The following is a 20,331-nucleotide window of genomic DNA, read 5'->3' on the forward strand; positions in this document are numbered from 1 at the left end:
ACATATACAAAGTTGAAACACAAGCCACAGACTGGCAGAACGTATCTGCAAGATATATAAAAAACAAAGGTGTACAGCACAGAATATATAAAAGAACTCCTCAAGGAAAAAAAAAGGGCAAAGTACCCAAAAGGAAACCCAAATAGCCAACAAACATGAAAAGATGTTGTCTCACTAGCATTGCAAGTTAAAACAACAAAGCACTATTTTTTAGCTATCAGATTGGCAAAAGTGGAAAAAGTCTGGCAGTACCAAGCATGACTAAGAATTTGGAGAACCTTCATGGCCTGTTGGAGGTAGTGGAGGTAGTATTAACTAGCACTACTGTTTTGAAGAGTAATTTGGCAATATCTAATTAAGATCAAGAATAAGTCTGTGTTCTATCAATTTCATTCCATCTCTAGAGGAATTCTAGCTTGTGTATTAGAAGGGCATTTATAGGGATGTGCATTGTAGCATTATTTATAGTACTGATAAAAATAGAAAAAAAAAAACCCTGAGAGGGCATCAAAAGGGAAATAATGATGATAAATTCATATAATTAAAATAACCGACAGTAGTTAAAATGAATATATTACAATAAGATATCTATATAAATGGATTTCAAAAACAATGTTGAGTAAGAAAGTTACAGAAGGGCAAAAACAGTATAGTACGTAAAGCTGAAAAGTAAAGCTGAGAACACCAAAATAGTATGATGTAATGTTTACAGAGGCAACACATGTTCCTGAAAGCATAAAAACATGGAGAATGGGTGTGATTGGTGAAAGGTGCAAAGAGGATACTTACAATGTATCTATAGTGTTTATAGAATCATTTCACATACAGGTCTCTAAATTAAATACGATGAAATATTAGCATATGTGCATTCTGTGTCATGGATGACAAGGTGTTTGTGACTTGTATGACAGAAAAATTTCCTAATTGTAGTAATAAAGAAGAACAGAAAAAGTGAAGACTGGTTCATACCAACAAGGCATACTGTAGTGGGGACGCCAGGGCAAATCAGAACCTGTGTGCAGGACATAATTAACAACCTTAGAGCTTAATCAATGTAAATTCAAAAAGCAGATATCTTATCTTACTTCTGGCAGAAGAGCTGACCACAGTTCCTGCAATGGTGTCGTCTTTCTGTGAGTGAAAACCTCACCGAGCAGCCTGAGCAGCTGTCACCACCTTCATCCTTCACCCAGTGATCAGCAGCAGAACGGCCTGGCTGGTCACTCACAGACCAGCTGAAAACTCGGCCTCGACTGTCACCAACGAGGATCCTACTGTGATCCCTGCAGGAGACACGACAGAGGAGGTCACTGCACGGAAGGCTTCTGTGATCTCCTTCTTGAGGCTCTCTGGATTTTGGTGGATGTGTGTTTTGAGGTCGGGGCTGGTAAGGGTCCTGGAGAGACCCCTTGATTCACTCAGAGATGTATGTGTAAACAGACAAAAACTGAACCGAGCCCAAATTTACACTTCCATTTCAATTTTCTTTGGATCACCCTTGCTGTATCTTTGAAGAACAGAAAAAGCAGTTTTTCACTTTTTAAAAAATTCAGAATTTAAATCCAGTGTATGGGCATGGTGGCTCACACCTGTAATCCCAGTACTTTGGGAGGCCGAGGTGGGCGGATCACTTGAAGCCAGGAGTTTGAGACCAGCCTGGGCAACACGGTAAAACCCCGTCTCTATAAAAAATACAAAAATTAGCCGGGTGTGATGGTGCACGCCTATAGTCCCAGTTATTTGAGGGGCAGAGGTGGGAGAACTGCTTGAGCCTGGGAGGTTGAGGCTGCAGTGAGCTGTGATTGTGCCCCTGACTCTAGCCTAAGTGACAGAACAAGACCCTGTCTCAAAAAAAAAAAAAAAAAAAAAAAAAAGAAAAAGAAAAGAAAAATATCCACACACTAACAGGGTTCTTCTTCAAATTTATCTCTTTGAGCTACATACGATAATACAAATAAAATCTGTTTTCCCCAAAGACTGGGCTGGAGTATGTGGCCCTTGGCTAACCAAATGACTCAGATGGGAAGCGGAGCTGGAAAAAGCCTGACACTTACTTGGAGATGCCCAAGGCAGTGACCTCAGCTGGGTGTGCATTGTCCTTTCGATCAAAGGCTGTGTGCATAGTCAGCTTACTCCTGAACACCAGCTGCCGTTCCCATCGGTACCCTGGAATGGAGAAGTGGAGGACACAACATAACTCAACTGAGAGAAGCCAATACTGGGGAGAACTACTCTAAGATGGTGGCCTTAAACTTAGGGTACCTCAACATACAGCTACAGCAGCTTTTCCAGTTCTCGGCAGCTGCTGCCTTGGTTGAAAGTAAAGCTACCTAGCTTGACATTAACATGGGCCAGGCTGGAGAAACATCTCGTTGAAGGAGACAAACTAATGAGAAGGAGAAATTTTCAATGCAAGCAGATGCATCCAATTTCTCCAATTGAGGACCTTGCCTCTAACTCTATTCTGGGCAAAGTTACCTGCAAATGCAGTTTTATTTATTCATTTTTAATTAGCTTCTGTGATTTAATGAGTTGTGAATAAATACAGTTTCTAGTTTGAGGTATTTTTCTTTAAAAGATGCCCAGCATATTGCAAACACCATCGTAGGATAGAATTTTTAAGTCCACTTTACACTAGAAGAAACTGAAGAGGCCTTCTGTGTAAAGAGGCATTCTGTGTGAGTGGCCCAGCTCACGGGGCACATCCAGGGTGGGGCCCAGGGAGAGCTAGACCCCACTGCCTCAATCCACCAACCCTCACACCACATATAAGGAGTGAGAAATAGATACCAGACTTCAAGTTACCAGGTTTCAATCTGCTGTAATTCCGCACCTCAATGGGATTGGGGTGGGGGTGGCTAAGGGGGCCCTGCAGATGGGCTCTGGTCTGGCCCTCTGAATAGTTCACAAATATGAAGCCGTCTTTCTCATCTAGACTGAGCTGGTCGGACCAGCGTCTGGAGTCGTCAGAGCCACTGTCAGTACACCAGGCGGCTGTTGCGCGGCAGGAGGCTGCCCGGGGCCTGTGGCTGGTGCTGCTGGGTTGGCTTGGAGTGTCCTTAGGGTCCTGGCTGATGCTCTGCTCATCTGCTTCTGAATCACTGCTGTCCTCGTCTTGGGCTTCCTGCCCTGGGTGAAGCATTGAGAGAATTGGAACATACGGAACCATCAAAGTTACACCCAGCTTTGTTCTGCTAGTATTTTTTTTCTCCCAGTTATAAGCCTCTATAGACATAATATTTTAAGCTAAGTGTAACAAAAAAGAAAGTAAGTGCCAGGATTTTTGGCTAGAGTACAGAGAGCAAAGAAATAAAAAAGTCGAATTTCTGAAAGAGTTTATTAAAAACTTTGGCCAAAATCCTTAGCTTGGAATTCAATCTCTCACAATCTGGCCAGAATCTGCCTTTGCCGCACACTCCCTGCTGTGCTGCAGCTAGATGGTGTCACTCCAGCTCTCTCCCTGCAGACCTGCTCCTCCAAAGGTGAGCTTCTTCACATGCTGCTGGTGCCGCCTAGACCCATCTTTCCAATCTCTGTGGGTTCCGATGTCACCTAGCTTTCAAGGGACAGCTTAAACATTCTTGTCTCTGAATCACCCAATTCCTTCAGCTCAAAGTATTCTCCCCCTTTTCTGGACTCCTTTAACAGTTCTGTGCCTCCTGAGTTCTTGAAATTATCATTCTAAATGATTACTTTTGGATATTCTTCATATATATATATATATATATACACACACACACACACACACACACGTACGTGTGTATATATATATATATATGTATGTATGTATTTTTTGAGACAGAATCTTGCTGTGTCACCCAGGCTGGAGTGCAGTGGCATGATCTTGGCTCATTGCAACCTTTGCCTCCTGGGTTCAAGCGATTCTCCTGCCTCAGCCTTGGAAGTAGCTAGGACTACAGGCACCCACCACCACACCTGGCTAATTTTTGTATTTTTAGTAGAGACGGGGTTTCACTATGTTGGCCAGGCTGGTCTTGAACTCCTGACCTCATGATCCACCCACTTTGGCATCCGAAGGTGCTAGGATTACAGGCGTGGGCCACCACACCCAGCTATTTTTGGATATTCTTTCTACAAGATGGTAGAGAAAAGGGCCATTGCATATAGTGGTTAATGACTCAAAGATTAGTGAATTACCTTATTTTTAATTTTTATTTATGTATTTATTTTTACATACATGGATCTTGCTCTATCACCCAGGCTGGAGTGTAGTGGAGCGATCATAGCTCACTGCAGCCTCAACCTCCTGAGCCCAGGGAATCTGCCCGCCTCAGCCTTCTGAGTAGCTGGGACCACACGTGCATGCCACAACATCTGGCTAAAGATTAGTGAATTATTCTATGAAAGCCTTACTTTGGAATTTTGTTCTTCTTCCTCTTTTCACTGTTATTTTGCATTTCTTCACATCAACTCTCTACTCTCTTGCAATAAAGTCTACTGGAGGGAAAATGTATAAGAAACAAGTATACCTGGCCCTCCATTTCTGTGGGTTCCACATCCATGGATTCAATTAATCTCAGATGGAAAATATTTGGGGAAATAAACTGTGTCTGCAAATGAACATGTGCAGAATTTTTTTCCTTGTCATTAGTCCCTAAACAATACAATATCGCAACTATTTACACAGCATTTACATTGTATTGGTAGTAATCTGGAGATGATTTAAGGTATACAGGAGGGTGTTAGTAGGTTTTATGCAAATACTACATACACCATTTTATATCAGGGACTTGAGCATTCTCAGATTTTGGTATCAAAAGGAGGTCTTAGAACCAACTCCTGAGGATACTGAGCCCACCAAAGTTATTTTCTTAGCAAGACAAATACTTTATTTGCCTGCTTCCTACTCAGTAGGGGGCTATTGGACTAATGTGAATGAAGTTTTCACCCCAACGGCTTATGATCGTGAGCTCTGAGGTCCGCAAACAAGCAGCTTTGGAAGCGGCTTTAATTTCCAGTGAACCACTAGCTTGTTTACATTTCACCCCAGCAAGTGCCCACAAATCTCACCACTTCTACATTGTTCAATCCTTCCTGTGGGCTGTTCTCCCTGCCACTTCTGCCAGACTACCCACAATAAAGACATACAAATATCTTTCCACCCTGAATTTGACCCCTTCTATCTCACTCATTCATCTCCTCTTCCACTGTTATTTACTTAAAAGCTTTTTAAGGGAAAGGAAAATGACCCACTTTTCATTGGTTCCCTTAATTCAATATCTGACATATAACAGGTAACCCCCAAACACTTATTGAATTAAACTGAATTTTTATGTCCCCAAACACCCAGATGACCTTTTTGGTGGGGCTGTAATTAGAAATTTACATGTACTAATATAACACCAACATTAAAATGTCCTGCCCAAGGGATCTTTTTTCTTCTCTGGCATGGAAAGTAAAAGCTACTTTCAGCTTATATAGAGAAGTGACTTGTGTCCTTTTGCTAAGTTTCCTTTATTAACTCTCTCACATCATCAAAGTCACACTGAATTCTCAGTGCACAAAAGCCAATCATGGAGAAACAATCTGAAGGTCAAACTTCAAACCTTGTTCCTTTCCAGGAAGTTCCTTTCCAGGAAGTTCCACTGTTCTACATCAAAGGGGGCGGCTTCTTCAGTGACTGCAATGCAAAGCAGATCTCACCCTGGCATTATGGCATTGCTTTCAGTTATTCTGGGTAGAAATCAATTATCTCTATATTTCACTGAAAAATTTTAAATTGCTTCACAAATAATGGACTATAGGTAACCAGGCTTCAGTGTGAATTAATGCCCCAATGTAAGCAAGTCTGACTGTGGACTCTGGTCTGCCTCTGTTAATTGTTTACAAACACAATTGTATCTGTTGTCCACACTGAGCCAGCCCCATGGTGGGCAGAACAAATGTGGGGCTGGGGTGCAGCAGGGCTTGTCTGACTTATACAACAGCACGCCCTCTAGGTCTGTTGTGTGTTTTCAGAAGTGAAAGCCAAAGCCTTTGGTACTCTAGGAAGTAAGTGCTATATTTAGTATGGAATGTGGAAGTTAACCACAAGACACCACTACACTGAATGTTGCCCAGTGAAGTAGAGAAAACCTTGCATGTCTGCTCAAAGGAATCACACAACAGGCAGCAACCATGCTTCTCCAAGCAGTGCCCAACCTTGGGCTCCTCTTTATGTTGTTTGGTATAAGCTTATCCACAGTGACTTAAAAGAAATATGAAAACGATTTGAGTCATTTTTAGAAAGTATTAAATACCTATTTGTGCTTCTGGACAGTCTTCCTGCATTTCTAGGACTTCAGCAGGCTCAGGAGCTGGTGTTTCAGGAACTTGCAAAAATTCCATTCTCCAAAACTAAATTTAAATAAGTACAAAAATTAAAAAGTTAAGAAACAGATTAAGGAACCAATTTACATTACTCAATGAAGAGAGACTGTCAGGGTTAACAGATAACTTAATTTCCATCATGTTATACAGTTAGATTTCCCGTATCTTGGAAGATGTGGCAGCGGGCTGCCTGCACACAATGGCTGTTTCAAAGTACAGGGAAAAAGATTATAGTCATATTAGTTTAAAAACATGGTTCAGGCCAGGTGTAGTGCTGCCTATAATCCCAGCACTTTGGGAAGCCAAGATGGGCGGATCATTTGAGGTCAGGAGTTTGAGACCAGCCAGGTCAACATGGTGAAACCCTGTCTCTACTAGAAGTACAAAAATTAGCCGGGCATAGCAGTGCATGCTTGTAATTCCAGCTACTTGGGAGGCTGATGCAGGAGAATTGCTTGAACCTGGGAGGCAGAGGTTTCAGTAAGCCGAGATTGCACCACTACACTCCAGCCTGGGCGACAGAGCAACTCACTCTGTCTCAAAAACAAAACAAAAACATAGTTCAACTAAGTAAACTTTTTTGTTTCCTACAAAAACCTCTCAGAGTCTTGCATATGCTAATACACATTATATATCTCCAAGAGGGCATACAGTAAACAGAATCCCCAGGTGCCTGGCTAGGGAGCTATTTTATGCTGCTTCACAGATTGAGCAGTGTGAAATACCACTGTCGAGGAAGCAGACTCCAGGGTGTGTGTGTTTGTGAGTTTTTGTGTGTGCACAGATGTGTACCGTGTGAGGTACAGGGTGTGGTATTGGAGTGGACTGATGGCTTCACTGTCTTTCAACATGTGACTCTGACTAAAGAGGGTGGTAATCAGCTGCTCTCTGCTTTTACAAAGAGCACAATTAAAGAAAAACAAGCACAAAGAAAAATCTCCTGAGACAGAAAAACTCAAATACTTCAACAGACTACAAAAGTGAATACTCCATTGCCTCTATTTTCTGTAGAGTCCCAGCACATAGCAACCTAAGAAAAGGATAAACTACATCTAGGCTTCAGGTGCAGTCATCTGGGATCCTAGCTGGGGATCCTCGAAGTGTTTTCCAGCACTGTGATTCTCTGTAGGGAAGAGACTTATCCCTGCTCACTATGTTTTCCCTACGAAGCCATTTGACAGGCTGAAAACCCAGTACTTCTGCAGTTCGCATGTTGAGCAATCCCAGTGTGACATGGGAATCATGTTTGACTGACCTCACTGTGTCAAGCTGTCAAATGGCCAGTAGCACTACCAGATCTACTTAATAGGAAGAAAAGAGGCCAAGACACCAGTGTTCCTCATGTCTGATAACGCAGAGGCCAAGGCCTGTCTGAGCTGGAGCGAGAGTTCACTAAACATTACAACTTGTTCAGGTGTTCTTAACCTGTAATTAGCTACAAGTTTCTGGTAAACTAGGATGACAAATATCCTAATGAGTTTTTCTCTCAGTTCACTTACCCGAACCACTCCATCTGAGTGTCCTGTCACTATGACGTTCTGCGTGTCCCATTCGTTCATCTCCGACATGCAGCAGCAGATGATCTGCTGGCTCCTACCTGTGAACGTGTTGACACTCACGATAGGGTTCCCATTGATGCTCCACACATGGATATATGTGCCAGCGCAGGACACAATGTCCCCCTGAGAAGAGAGAGAAAAACGTCATTCTCTTTGCTCCCTTCCAATTACCTTCTGGTTTCTGAAGCAAATTGAATCCCTGGCCTAGTTCTCAGAAAGCCTTTCAGTCCTAAGACTAGTGGCTAATTTCTTAGGTAACCTGAAATTCAGTGCTTGCTGACTTAAAAAAAAATACTCCGAACAGAGGCTTCTTTAAGAATTCACAGTTGAGTGGATGCAGTGGCCAAAGGGACCACGGATGGAGACAAAGGGCAGGTCCACGTCCCTGGCACACTGCTGAGCAAGGTCTGGCGACACAAGAAAGCTCCCTGTCATCTGAGGAGATGAAGAACTACTCTTCTTCCTCCCATTGTTAACAAAATCTATTACGCCTTTCATCTAGAGGCAGGAATCCACCTCCACTTTTACAAAATGAATCCAACCACTAAAACCACAGGGTAGAAGAGGCATTTTTCAGTCCAGATATAGTTGTGTTTCTTCAGTAAATCAAAAGGCACAATCTTGGTAATGCTGTAATATCCTATTTTAAAATCTGTATTCAAAATAGGGGTGGGGGAATGTGGGGGGAGAAAAGGAAACTGGTAAATGGGTCACTTCTTGGCAAACTTAGTAAAAACCAAGACTCCCTGAGCTGATAACTTATGTTTTTATGAGATCCAAAGATAGAAAAGAACAACCTATTTTCTTAAATTCTACCAGGCTGGGCTCTACCTAACCTGGTAAGAACACAACCCACTATAGTTAAAGAAAGGAGGATGCTTTCTGAAGCATCTCCTGTGTGCCAGTCACTGGGGTGGAGACTTCAGATGTTCTAGTTAACACAGCAACCTTGTGAGATTATCACTAGCCCTGCTGTAAAGGATGAAAGTGAGGGGCAAAGAATTTAAGTAACTTATTTATCATCAGAGATTTGAAGCCAGCTTTCTATAGCGCCAAAGCTTATATACCATACCGTGCTGCCTCTTTCATTCCTAAGATAGTCTGTTTGTCACAATGCTGGGTATTACCTTTAGAAAAGACCTGGTAAAGTTCAGTACCCTCAGGAGATATATAAGAACCTACATAAGTCTTAAGATGGTCAGCAAAAACAGAGGAGAACTAGAAGCTGCAAAGCAGCATCAACACATAAAAAGGTAAGGTGGAGGAGGCTGGGGTAGGGTGAGGAGGAGGACTGGGCCTGTTCCATCCACAGTCTGTGCTGCACCGTCTGTGCTGGTCTTGCTACTGCTGCTCCTTGCTCCTCCCACCCCCTAGCTCTTCTTCTACCAAAATGGCAAGAAATAAACCAAAACCCAAACCAAAACAATACTTAGCAAAGCACTGTTGTGTCTGCTTCTGTATCAGTTACTGAACCATTTCTGACTATAAGTGTCAGCAATTGAGTTTTAATTAGTGGCTTTAGTCTCTGCAAGAGAAAATTGCTCCATTCTGCACTGGGCAAGACCTTCTTCAGTTACTCTGGGGCCTTAATTAGAGTTTATTAGAGTAAATCCTGTTGTTATGAGGGCAGAGACATAAGAAGAATTAAAGGCAAAGTGGCTTTGGCCTGAAGTGTAAACTGAAGTAAAGCAGGCTTGATATTGGTTGGAGAAACACAACAGAAATAGAAATCTTTTCATGACTTATTAAGATATTACAAAAGCATCTTAAAAAGAAAACACTGCTTTTGTAGTATTTGCAGCAAATATTGCAATCCACTAGTGTACACTGGCTCAAATAACAACTGGCTATATAATAAAATTATCAGTATTTAAGTTAAGAACAACCCCAAAACAAAGTGCTCCAAATAATTGATTAAGCATCTGACTCAACACTGCTGCATAAGAGCAGTTCTACAGCACCCACATTTTTGTAAAGCTCTTTTGGTTCAAATGTTTGCAGGACCAACCCAAGGTGTTGTTCTGAAAACCTCTTAAACCTTTCAGACAGAAAAAACAAATTTGGAGGCCGAGGCGGGCAGATCACAAGGTCAGGAGATCGAAACCATCTTCGCTAACACGGTGAAACCCCGTCTCTACTAAAAATACAAAAAAATCAGCTGGGCGCGGTGGTGGGCACCTGTAATCCCAGCTACTCAGGAGGCTGAGGCCGGAGAATGGCGTGAACCCGGGAGGTGGAGCTTGCATTGAGCCGACATAGCACCACTGCAGTCAGGCCTGGGCAAAAGAGCGAGACTCCATCTCAAAATAAATAAATAAATAAATAAATAAAACCCCAAAAAACAAAAACAAAAACAAATTTGACTCTTCTACCCTTGCATGTCCCCCACTCATTCTCAACCTGAGTACGTCTGCCATTATTAATCAAACACTCTAAGTGATTGACAACTGTAAGTGAATTCCTTTCTTTTTCCTTTTTTAATAAGTGACTACAAGATAGTTGACTAAAAGTGTTAATACTGAGTAACTTCTGGTAGAAATCAAAGATGCAGCATCCTTCAAGAGGAAAGCTGTCTGTGTAGGTGATGGTGTGAATGTCACTCAATGACATGGCTAGAACTGTTCTGTGTCATGAAGGATGGCCCTGTGGTAGGGGTGAGGGTAAGGTGGCAATGGATATGTATAGCTAAGAGGCGATGAGGCTTGGGTGGGTTCCTGTCGACTCCCAAGACGGATTTGTATATGGGGCATCACCTACATGCTGACACACATTATCTACTTGCTAATGCGACACACATCATCAACTTACTAACGCGATAAGCTTGTGAGGCCTTAGTCTCTGTAAACCTGCCCTCAAGCTTCCCGTTTCAAGACCATCTTAGCAATGAATCCCCTCGTCTGCTTCAGGTAGGCTTGGTATGTGTAGAGGGATCCTAGATGAGGGCATTTATTTTATTTGACTTCTTTCATTTATTTGTATATGAACTATTTATTTCTGAAAACAGCATCTTTTGATAACTTCTGGATCTGTTTTGAAAATAGCTATATAAGAATTTTTCTCTTGTTTGGGTACCCAAATGTCACCCTTTTTACTTTCCATACTCTGACTATAATTTATTAAAATTTTCAACACATTTCTAACCTTCTTCTTCTTTTTTTTGAGACTGAGTCTCACTCTATTGTCCAGGCTGGAGTGCAGTGGAGCGATCTTGGCTCACTGCCATCTCCACCTCCCGGGTTCAAGCGGTTCTCCTGCCTCATCCTCCCAAATAGCTGGGATTAAAGGCACCCACCACCAGCCCGGCTAATTTTTTTATTTTTAGTAGAGACGGAGTTTCACCATGTTGGCCAGGCTGGTCTGGAACTCCTGACCTCAAATGATCCGCCTGCACTGACCTCCCAAAGTGCTGGGATTACAGGCATGAGCCACCATGCCCGGCCAATTTCTAACATTCTTAACAAATCCTACAAATTTCCTGTTTTTTAAAAAAACATATTCTAGAAAGCTTTGTTTTATTTTAATCAAATTTTGTTCTCTCTACTGCATGGAGCAGTGAATGGATTTTAAGACAAAACTGCTCTCTGGATTACAAACTTTAACATCTATTTGCTTTTCAAACAACACTAAATCAAAGAAAAGGTAGTAACTTTTATAAAATGAGTATCTATCAACTTCAAAAACAATGAGTCATTTTTTTAGAAGAAAAATTTATTTATTTTTTTAAGAGACAGTGTTTTGCTGTTTCCCAGGCTGGAGTGCAATGGCTATCACAGGCACAGCCCACCACTGATCAGCATGGGAATTTTGATCTGCTCCATTTCCAACCTGAGTTGGTTCACCCCTCCTTAGGCAACTTGGTGGTCTCTGACTTTCAGGAGGTCACCAAATCGGTGCTGACCTTAGTGCAGACACCTGATGGGTATAGTGCCTACAGCCCAGAAGTCCTGGGCTCAACTAATCCTCCTGCGGTAGCCTCCTGAGCAGCTGCAACTCAGACATGTTCCCCTGAGCCCCACCATTTTTAATTGAGTTTGGCCAAGACTACTTGTTTACCTAAACATAAGTGGGCAATTTACTACTTACTGTTAATTCATTGATACAAAGAGCAGAAACTGGAGCTCGATGCCCTCGAAGCTGGGTTAGAAATGACAGTTTGTTCAAATCCCAAATGATACAGGTTCGATCACGGGACCCACTGACAATTATGTGATAGGCTAATGATGCTGTGGCGCAGGTGACGGTATCAGTGTGGCCCAGTAAGGCCTACGAATGAGAACAAACAAACAAAATCAGGTTGATCTCAGTGACAGGGTTCCACAGTGACTCCAGAAGCTCCTGGATGCATCAGGAAGCAGTGGCACGCATGCTAGGTAGTAGGTGACTTGAGCAGTGGTGTCTGGAGAGTCTGGAAGGCAGACCTCCTTTCTCCTCCTGCTGACTACCCTTGCCTCAGCCCACGGGGGTAGAGAGAAGCCTGGAGCACTCTGGAGGCTCTTTACTTTCACATTAGTTCTTTCCTGGAGTTGGGCCAGGATCTTAGAAGGAAGAGGGAATGACAACCACAACCCAGCTTGGGTTTCTTTATACCATTTTTATGTAGAGATGTATTGATTATGGGCATCAAAAATACAGAATTTCAACTCTATATCCATTCTTTTATGCCACAAACTCCTGTTCAGACCATTCTAAAGAATTACAATTGAATGAATTTTTTTTTAAAAAAATGCATAAACTGCGAGAACCACATGGCTGTAGCACGTGGTCTACAATAGACAAAGCGAGAATGTAGTCCTGAGGCGTCAACATGCTGAAGTCCTGCTGCCAATCGGAGATATCTGAGTATCTGTGCCTGAGAGGAATTCTTTCTTTAAACTAGAAAAAGAACTTCCCTCTTTTGCTGGAATATGAAGAGAAAAAGGACCCAAGGAAATGGCAATGTGTGAAAATAAGTAAATATTCTGAAGAAAAAGATTTAGATTACTGTTAGTAGTTCCTAAGTACTTAGAATGGGCCATCTGCCCTGGCAGAAAAATATATCCGCTTAATAATGAGTTGGCTTCATCTGCCGCCTTCCACACTAGAATGTAAGAGGTTGCCTCCTATTGTACATTTGGGGAAAGCCTTGGGTGTAAATCAGTGTAAACTTGGAGGAGAGATTTTGCTATCATGTAGAGTAGGTATTTTTTACAGATTGAAGGTTGATAAATTTTTTAATACTTTTGAGAGAGAAAACTATCTGTGTATACACATGAAGTATATATATGTGTGTGTGTGCATAATATAAAAAAAGAGTTGGCTTAAAATTTTGGTCATATAGACATCTTTATTGCATGCTTAGCAAACCCCAGGAAACTATTTTAAGCAGGAAGTCCTTTTTCCTGGCACATTACTTTCAAAGTGCATTTTCTAAATGGAAAATATTTTTAAGCATAATTTGAATCAGCAAAATGTACTATTAACCTTGTAATCTGTTCACTTCAAGACTTTCTCCCTCTTTATATGGCTTGCCTCAGGACCCAGCAACTCTGTGAAGTTTCTGGCCTATACAGATGATTCAGTTTTATACTGAACAGGGGTTCAATTTTTTTCTATAGGTATTTATGACACCACTGTTTGAGTTTGGCTTTATAATAGCTTTGAAGTCAGACAGAACTTAATTTAAATTATAGCTTTACTGCTACATGTGACTTTAGACTTGTGTCTTGACCACTCTAACCTGTGTCTTTTTCAGGGGTAAAATGGGGCTAATAACTACCTTGTAGAATTGTGTCGACTAGAGTTTTGTATTTGTAGAATACTCAACACAGTCCCCTGAAATAGAGGTGCTCAATAATTGATAAGTGGTATTGTTACATTATTTTTCAAATTTATATCATTAAAAATACTTAGATATATGCTCCTTATTTAAAAAATACCTTATGGTAAGTTCTCTCACAGATCAAATATTAAGAAATGGCTTAATTATAAAAGGACTCTTGCTTTAAGTAAAAATTAATAATAGAATCATGTATGTAATAGACAATCAGAAATACTCGTTAATTAAATCATCAAGGGCTCTACTGAATATATTCATGAGTTTGGCATATCCTTAAGTATATGACAAATGAGAAAAGAGAGAAACAAAAAATAAAGAATTTAGTGGCAGATAAATGGAAATCACCCTGGAAGGAAATTAATATGAGTCAATAGCAAACATAATTCAGTTTGCAAAAATTCAATTTAGACTTTTGCATTTATATTACTTAAATACACTGAAATATATGTTACCTAAAGATAACTTTCTTCAGATTTTAACAAAGGGACCGGCTTAGATCATTGTTAGAAACAACCTATTCTGATTTCCTTTTTTTTTCAAAAAAGTATTTCTAGCAACAGAACGTCACTTTGGTTTTGTCCATTAGATCTGAAGTACCTCAGAATTAAGGAAGCTTTTTACTTCCTACAGGGTGTAGGCACAGGAGATGGACTATGTCCTTCTTGGCATTTTCTATGTTCTCTCTTACCTGTTTGAGGGTGACGGTCTTGGCCTTTTCTTTGGAGGTGCCCATCTCCCACACACACACAACCGTGCTTGTTCCACCCGTGATGACCAGCTTGGGGTTGGGGCAGATTGCACAGAGAATCTGGCCCCACTCAGACAAGCATTCATAAACAGTCATGGCCTATAAAGTAAAACGGATGTGAGACACACATGCCGTTAAGTACTATACAAACTTCTGAAACTCAAGGAGCAGAATTGAGTGAAGGTGCAGGCACCTCACCAGCAAATAGCGGCTCATGTTCTGAGCTAGCTTTAGTTCAGAAGCATATCCACTGAATCTCTACCCTGAACTACCCCTACCGCCTCCAAACTATTGTTGCTGCTGAAAGCCATAACCAAAAAGGACTTTGCTCATAATGGGGGTCTCTGGTTTCTCCAGATTGGGAAAGTGATGCTCAAATTGTGTGATCTATGGAAGGTGCAGGGGACAATGTGGCAAAAGGATGCATTTGCTGTAGACAGAATGTGAAAAGAGAGCACGACTGCTGCTAAGGAGAACATCAACAAAATGGAATCGTGTTACAAAGCAACATAACAGACTATGCAGATTCTTTTCGTCTTGCATTTGGGAAGGGACTGTTGGAGGGCAAACACAGGGCACTAAAGGATCACTATGGATTGTCTCTCCAAGAGGTACTTATGGGACCCAAAACAGTTGCTGTTGCTTCTTGTGGGATGGAGCAACAGGTTTTCTGCCAGCTTGTTTGGAGCACTAAAATGAAAAGTGGGGCAGATGGTGACTCATCAAAAGGAGGCTATTCTGGTTGACAGAAATGCTGAGCTCCTTGCTGGCTAGGATCTCTCGGAGGAATTCTTTGAGTGAGAAGGAAACTGCTAGCCCCTGTTACACAACTTTGCAAAAGAGGCTTGTTCTGCAGGGAACATGACATCTCTATGAGCTCCTTTATCCTGCTCTCATTCAGTGAAGCTCTCCTTTCCCCAAATAGGAAAGCTCACTTTTCTTTTGGGCTTTGGAGGAACAGCTGACAAGCCCTTGGACTGGGTTCTCCCCAACCCTATTAGTCATATAGGATAGCCAGACCACAAAAGAGCAATATTAAATGAGTAGGCAGGAAATAATGCAAACCTTGTCTGACTCATAGGTTCCCAGTCTGCAACTGAGGTCTGCATAGCCCCAAGCAAAAGTTTTATTCCAGGTTGGTGGGATAAGAACCTTATTCTGTTCCACCGCAAGAATACCTTTATCTGTACATACGATTTGTCCTACAGGTTCTTTGAGTTCTAGAAAAAAGAAATCATGGTATTAGGACAGGAACAGGAAAAACTAATGTCATTATCTCATAGAGCATGATAATTTCAAATATTCATATAAATCAAGCATCCTGATACCTACGTTGAGAAAAAATGATCTCTGAAATAGAGCTGGGCTTTTGAATCTCCTACAAGACCTGCTGGGTGGAATGTTCAACCTAACAGGGCCTCTGCAGGACTTTCCTCCAGCTTTCCTATTTCTGGGCACTCTCTGGTTTGGGTACTACCATTCAGGTTTGCCTCCCTAGGGTTGTACAGAGTAATCTGGGATGCTCCCCAGAATGTCATAGGGACACAGATTATCAACAAACCTATGTCTTTAGTACCTCCCAAGTTATAGCCAGACCTTAGACTTCCTCAAGGAAGGTCATGTCATTCCCCAGAGGAACGGACTCCTTGCTCCACACCAGCACTCTGATGACCATATTACTACTCCAGAAGAATCGCCAACAGTGACTGACGCTGGCACAGAGCAGAGTCTGTGTAATGAGGACAAATGGCATAGAATGGCACACAAGTTAACCAGATTTTGTTCCAATTCTTGGATATTTTTAAGCGACAACTTCAAGATTTTGCAGAACTTTTTTTTTTTCATTCTAAGGGGAAAAAACCTACTTGAAAAAATATTTTTAGATATCCCATTATACCATTAGATAAAACACAGATGTCTTTTCATTGGCATACTAAAAATGTGTTCTTTTACTAATATATCGGATAGGCAGAATATATTTAAATGAGAATGAAATTATGAAGACAAATTTTTTTTATCTATAAAGTTGAATTTACAAGGTTTTGGTATTTTAGAGCTTTGATTATCTTAAAGAGGAGAGAGAAGACTGTTTGGTTCTTTCTGATATGAAGTCCAACAAGCCAAAAAAAGAAAACAGAGAAAAAAAAGCAAAAAGAGAAAATATAAATACTAGTAGGTATTTAGTAATCTAACACAAAATGTATGGCACTTATTAAACAAATTATGCTATCGTCAAAAAGCAAATTTGTTATTGTTAAACTGGGATTATTAACAATCCCATTAAATCATTAATCAAAAGTTTATTTCTCATTATTTTACCTTTTACAGGTGTTAGAGAAGGCCTCAAGTTGTCTAGATGATGAAAAAAGATCTTGTCACTTGTAGATCCTGGTAGGACAGAGATTCCTGCATTGTCTCCATTGAGTCGACTTCTCACTCGCTTTGGTGGATGAGGTTTTTTAAATAACTGGTATGAAAGAAGATGACTCACTTTATAATGAAAGATAACACTTATAAGCCCTTTTATATGCCAGGCATTGTGTTCTTATTTCAATTAAGGTTCACAAGAACTATTAGGTACTATATTATCCTCATTTTACACCCGAGGAAAGAGATTCAAAGACGCTATGAAGGTGGCCAGAGAACTCACACCTGAATAAGCAGGGACAGGACTATGATACTAAAGCATGGGCTATTGTCTTGTTCTATGCTAAGCTGAATTCACAATAACTTTCTCAAAGAAAGTCAATCTACAGTTGATTGACAATTATTTTCCAATGATATTCAAAAGTTAACTCTCAGTAGCCTAATACCATTCTGTGCCATTGAAGGCAGGCAGACACTCTATCTAGTTGGATTATTTCTGGTTTCAATGTGGCCTTTATGTGATTTAGAAATATCATTTTGGTGTCCTAAAAAGGTGCTACTGATTTGCTGAAAGTGTGAATATTATCATCTTCTTTGTGCTTTGCTATGTTGTAAAGGGAAAAAAGAAAACAAAAATGTGCTACATCGTCATTCTGTATTTCTACAGGATTAAAAATATTAATGGCTGGGTGAGGTGGCTCATGCCTGTAATCCCAGCACTTTGGGAGACTGAGGCAGGCGGATCATGAGGTCAGGAGTTCGAGACCAGCCTGGGCAATATGGCGAAACCCGTCTCTACTAAAAATACAAAAATTAGCTGGGCGTGGTGGTACACGCCTGTAGTTCCAGCTACTTGGGAGGGTGAGGCAGGAGAATCGCTTGAACCCAGGAGGTGGAGGTTGCAGTGAGCCGAGATTGCGCCACTGCACTCCAGCCTGGGGCAACAAAGCGAGACTCCGTCTCAAAAAAAAAAAAAAAAAAGTACATTTAAGATTACTATTTTTCAATTATTGTAAATCTTTGAGACAGGCATAGAGTAGTTTCTGTTGGAAAACTAGTATTTGAGGAGGAGATCTGAAAAACTTTAAATGAAATGAGATTTAAGATAAATACGACACCATCACACTTTGTAAATTAGATATTTGGGGTTTCCAAGGGAAAAAAACAGAAAAAATTCTTTGTGCAGAGGAAGATACACATTCCAGACTCTCAAATCTTTAAATGTTTTATTCCTATTTTATCTACATAAAGGACTATAAGATCAGGCTTCTATAAAGATACATAGTTTTAAAGCACTTTCATGAATGTGCATTTACTGAAGCACTTTTACGTGAGGACCTAAGGAGAGAGCACTGCGCCAGGCTGCGGGTATATAATGATGTATGGAGATGATGACCATAAAACCTACATTTCTGAGGATGGCTTTACTTGAAAGTACCCTCTATTACTCAATGTGTGTCCCAGAAATATGTTGGCATCCAAACGATACTTCCCAGACTTCTGGCCTCTTCTACTTCAAAGTAGCACAAAAATCCTGCAACAGTGCAAGTGTCTTGATTTTTATGTTCAGAATATGTATTTCCCCTAGGGTATGAAAGATGGCTCCAGCCCTTGTAACTCTCAGGAAAAAGAAAAAAGTTAACTAAATAAAGGTATAGCTAATATTCTTCAACTGTGAATAATTTATCAGCAAGCATTTTGCTTTAAAAGTAAACACAGCCAGGCGCCGTAGCTCATGCCTGTAATCCCAGCACTTTGGTAGCTGAGGTGTGAGGACTGCTTGAGTCTAGGAGTTCAAGACCAGCCTGGGCAACATAGTGAGACTCTATCTCTATAAAATAAAAATAAATAAAAATAAAAGTAAACATGTTTCTTTTATTAGGGGATCACATTGCTAGGGGATCAGACTGCATTGTAAATGGTACAGTTACAGCATGTCCTGCTATCTATCATGGCTTTTCTATATAAAGATATAAAGAGATGAGCCATTGTTTTGTGTGTTCTCAAGTGTCAACCCTGGAAACCTCAAGTTAACCTACAAAAAGGGAGTCCGTAGAGACATCTAAAGCAGGAAAAGAGGAGGTAGCCAGGATCAAAGTATGAGCCACTGGTACTTAGTAAAGGTGGGTGGCCTCACCAGCTCGTCAAAGTGTGCCTTCTCCACACTGTGGAGAAGTGCTGCAGTTACTTCTGGTGCACCCAGCCCTCCTGCCATACCTCGGACAATGGGGATGACAGAAGGGATGAGGTCTCTTCATGGAGGTTTGCTCATCACTGAACATGAAACAGGCCTACAGTATCTGGGTGCTGAGAGGCTTAGATCTTGGTCTTCCTCTCCAAGTTCCAGAAGGTGGTGAGGGCAGCTATTGCGTGTCCTAGGCACTCCTATGGCACGTGCTCTCACAGCACAGCACTTATTAGGCCTATGTCAACAATCTAACCCAATCCATCATCATCTGTTCTCTGAACTACCACAATAGCTTTCTTAGTGGTCTTCCGCTCCCCATTTGGGTCCCGTGTGTGTGTGTGTGTGTGTGTGTGTGTGTCAGACACACACACACAGAGACAGAGAGAGATAGAGAGAGAGAGAGAGAGAGAGAGAGAGAGAGAGAGAGAGAGAGGCACGCATAGAGTAGTTTATTCTGACTGAGGCCAGAATGAACTTCTAAAGTTTAAATATGACCATGTCATTTCTCTGCCTAAAATCAGCACTGGTTTCCCACTGGCCTCCAGACAAAACCTTGTCTCTGTGTATGTGGCCTATAAGGCCCCTCCTGTTACATCTCATGGAGGTTTAAGAAAGCATACCCTGCATTAGTCTGTAAGGGATAATTCTCTTTAAACAAAAATTTTTATTTATCTGGACTGTGAGAGTGAGAAAAAAGCAACAATCTAGGAATCTATTGAAATCCTAGGTGATATTTATGGCTCTTTATTAAGTTAATCTAAACTTAATTATTTTGTGGTAATCTACAATCTAGAGAAATGTTACAAAATGAAACAGAGTACATCAATGACAAGAAAAAAACATCCATACCTGTTTAGGGATCTGACCGAAGTTATTAATGAACCCAATTGTGGCTGTCTCCTTTAGTGGGTCATTGATGTTGTAGATATCCACTTGACCCTCATAAAAAAGATGATGGAAGACATTTACAGCTTCTACTGCAGCAGGGCCTTGCTGTTTATAACCGAAGATTAAGTCAATCCACTCATGTAGATGGGCACTCACGTAATCACACTCCAAAGCCTGTAATTTCAAACATAGGTTTAGTCACTGGCTGACTTCTATTACTTGCTCAGAGACTAGAAAAACCTTGGTAAGTGGTTAATAGGAACTAAAATAACTAAAAATCATAAAAACAACATAGTATTCCCCTCTTATTTGTGGTTTCACTTTCTGAGGTTTCAGTTACCTGCAGTAAACCATGGTTTGAAAATATTATTATATTTATGAGAGTGAGAGACAGAGATCACATTCACATAGCTCTTAGTAGGTTGTTATGATTGTT

At 41.0% G+C, this 20,331-nt stretch overlaps 1 protein-coding gene and 1 pseudogene across 27 annotated transcripts in view, besides 1 other annotated feature; both read right to left on the reverse strand.

Annotated features, from left to right (window-relative positions):
- WDFY3 (WD repeat and FYVE domain containing 3) overlaps positions 1-20,331 on the reverse strand; it is a 297,094-nt gene that overhangs the window by 6,517 nt on the left and 270,246 nt on the right. For all 27 annotated transcript variants that reach the window (XM_011531759.3, XM_047449858.1, XM_011531763.4 and 24 more), the window contains 10 exons: positions 19,857-20,069; positions 16,772-16,919; positions 15,518-15,672; positions 14,393-14,551; positions 11,973-12,152; positions 7,830-8,012; positions 6,261-6,357; positions 2,806-3,129; positions 2,055-2,166; positions 1,086-1,283 (listed from right to left, as the gene is read on the reverse strand). In XM_011531759.3, the coding sequence (XP_011530061.1) occupies positions 1,086-1,283; positions 2,055-2,166; positions 2,806-3,129; positions 6,261-6,357; positions 7,830-8,012; positions 11,973-12,152; positions 14,393-14,551; positions 15,518-15,672; positions 16,772-16,919; positions 19,857-20,069 (1,769 nt within the window). The remainder of the gene's footprint in view (positions 1-1,085; positions 1,284-2,054; positions 2,167-2,805; positions 3,130-6,260; positions 6,358-7,829; positions 8,013-11,972; positions 12,153-14,392; positions 14,552-15,517; positions 15,673-16,771; positions 16,920-19,856; positions 20,070-20,331) is intronic.
- RN7SL552P (RNA, 7SL, cytoplasmic 552, pseudogene) lies at positions 11,612-11,887 on the reverse strand (annotated as a pseudogene).
- Positions 14,975-16,174: an enhancer, noted in NCBI's record as "CDK7 strongly-dependent group 2 enhancer chr4:85612241-85613440 (GRCh37/hg19 assembly coordinates)". NCBI's record gives its function as "activates an origin of replication core promoter dependent on BRD2, BRD4, P300/CBP, MED14 and CDK7 cofactors, with strong dependence on CDK7, by STARR-seq in HCT116 cells {active_cell/tissue: HCT116}" and the evidence as "EXISTENCE:reporter gene assay evidence [ECO:0000049][PMID:35650434]".

Source organism: Homo sapiens, chromosome 4 (genome assembly GCF_000001405.40).
Source record: "Homo sapiens chromosome 4, GRCh38.p14 Primary Assembly".
Lineage (NCBI taxonomy): Eukaryota > Metazoa > Chordata > Mammalia > Primates > Hominidae > Homo > Homo sapiens.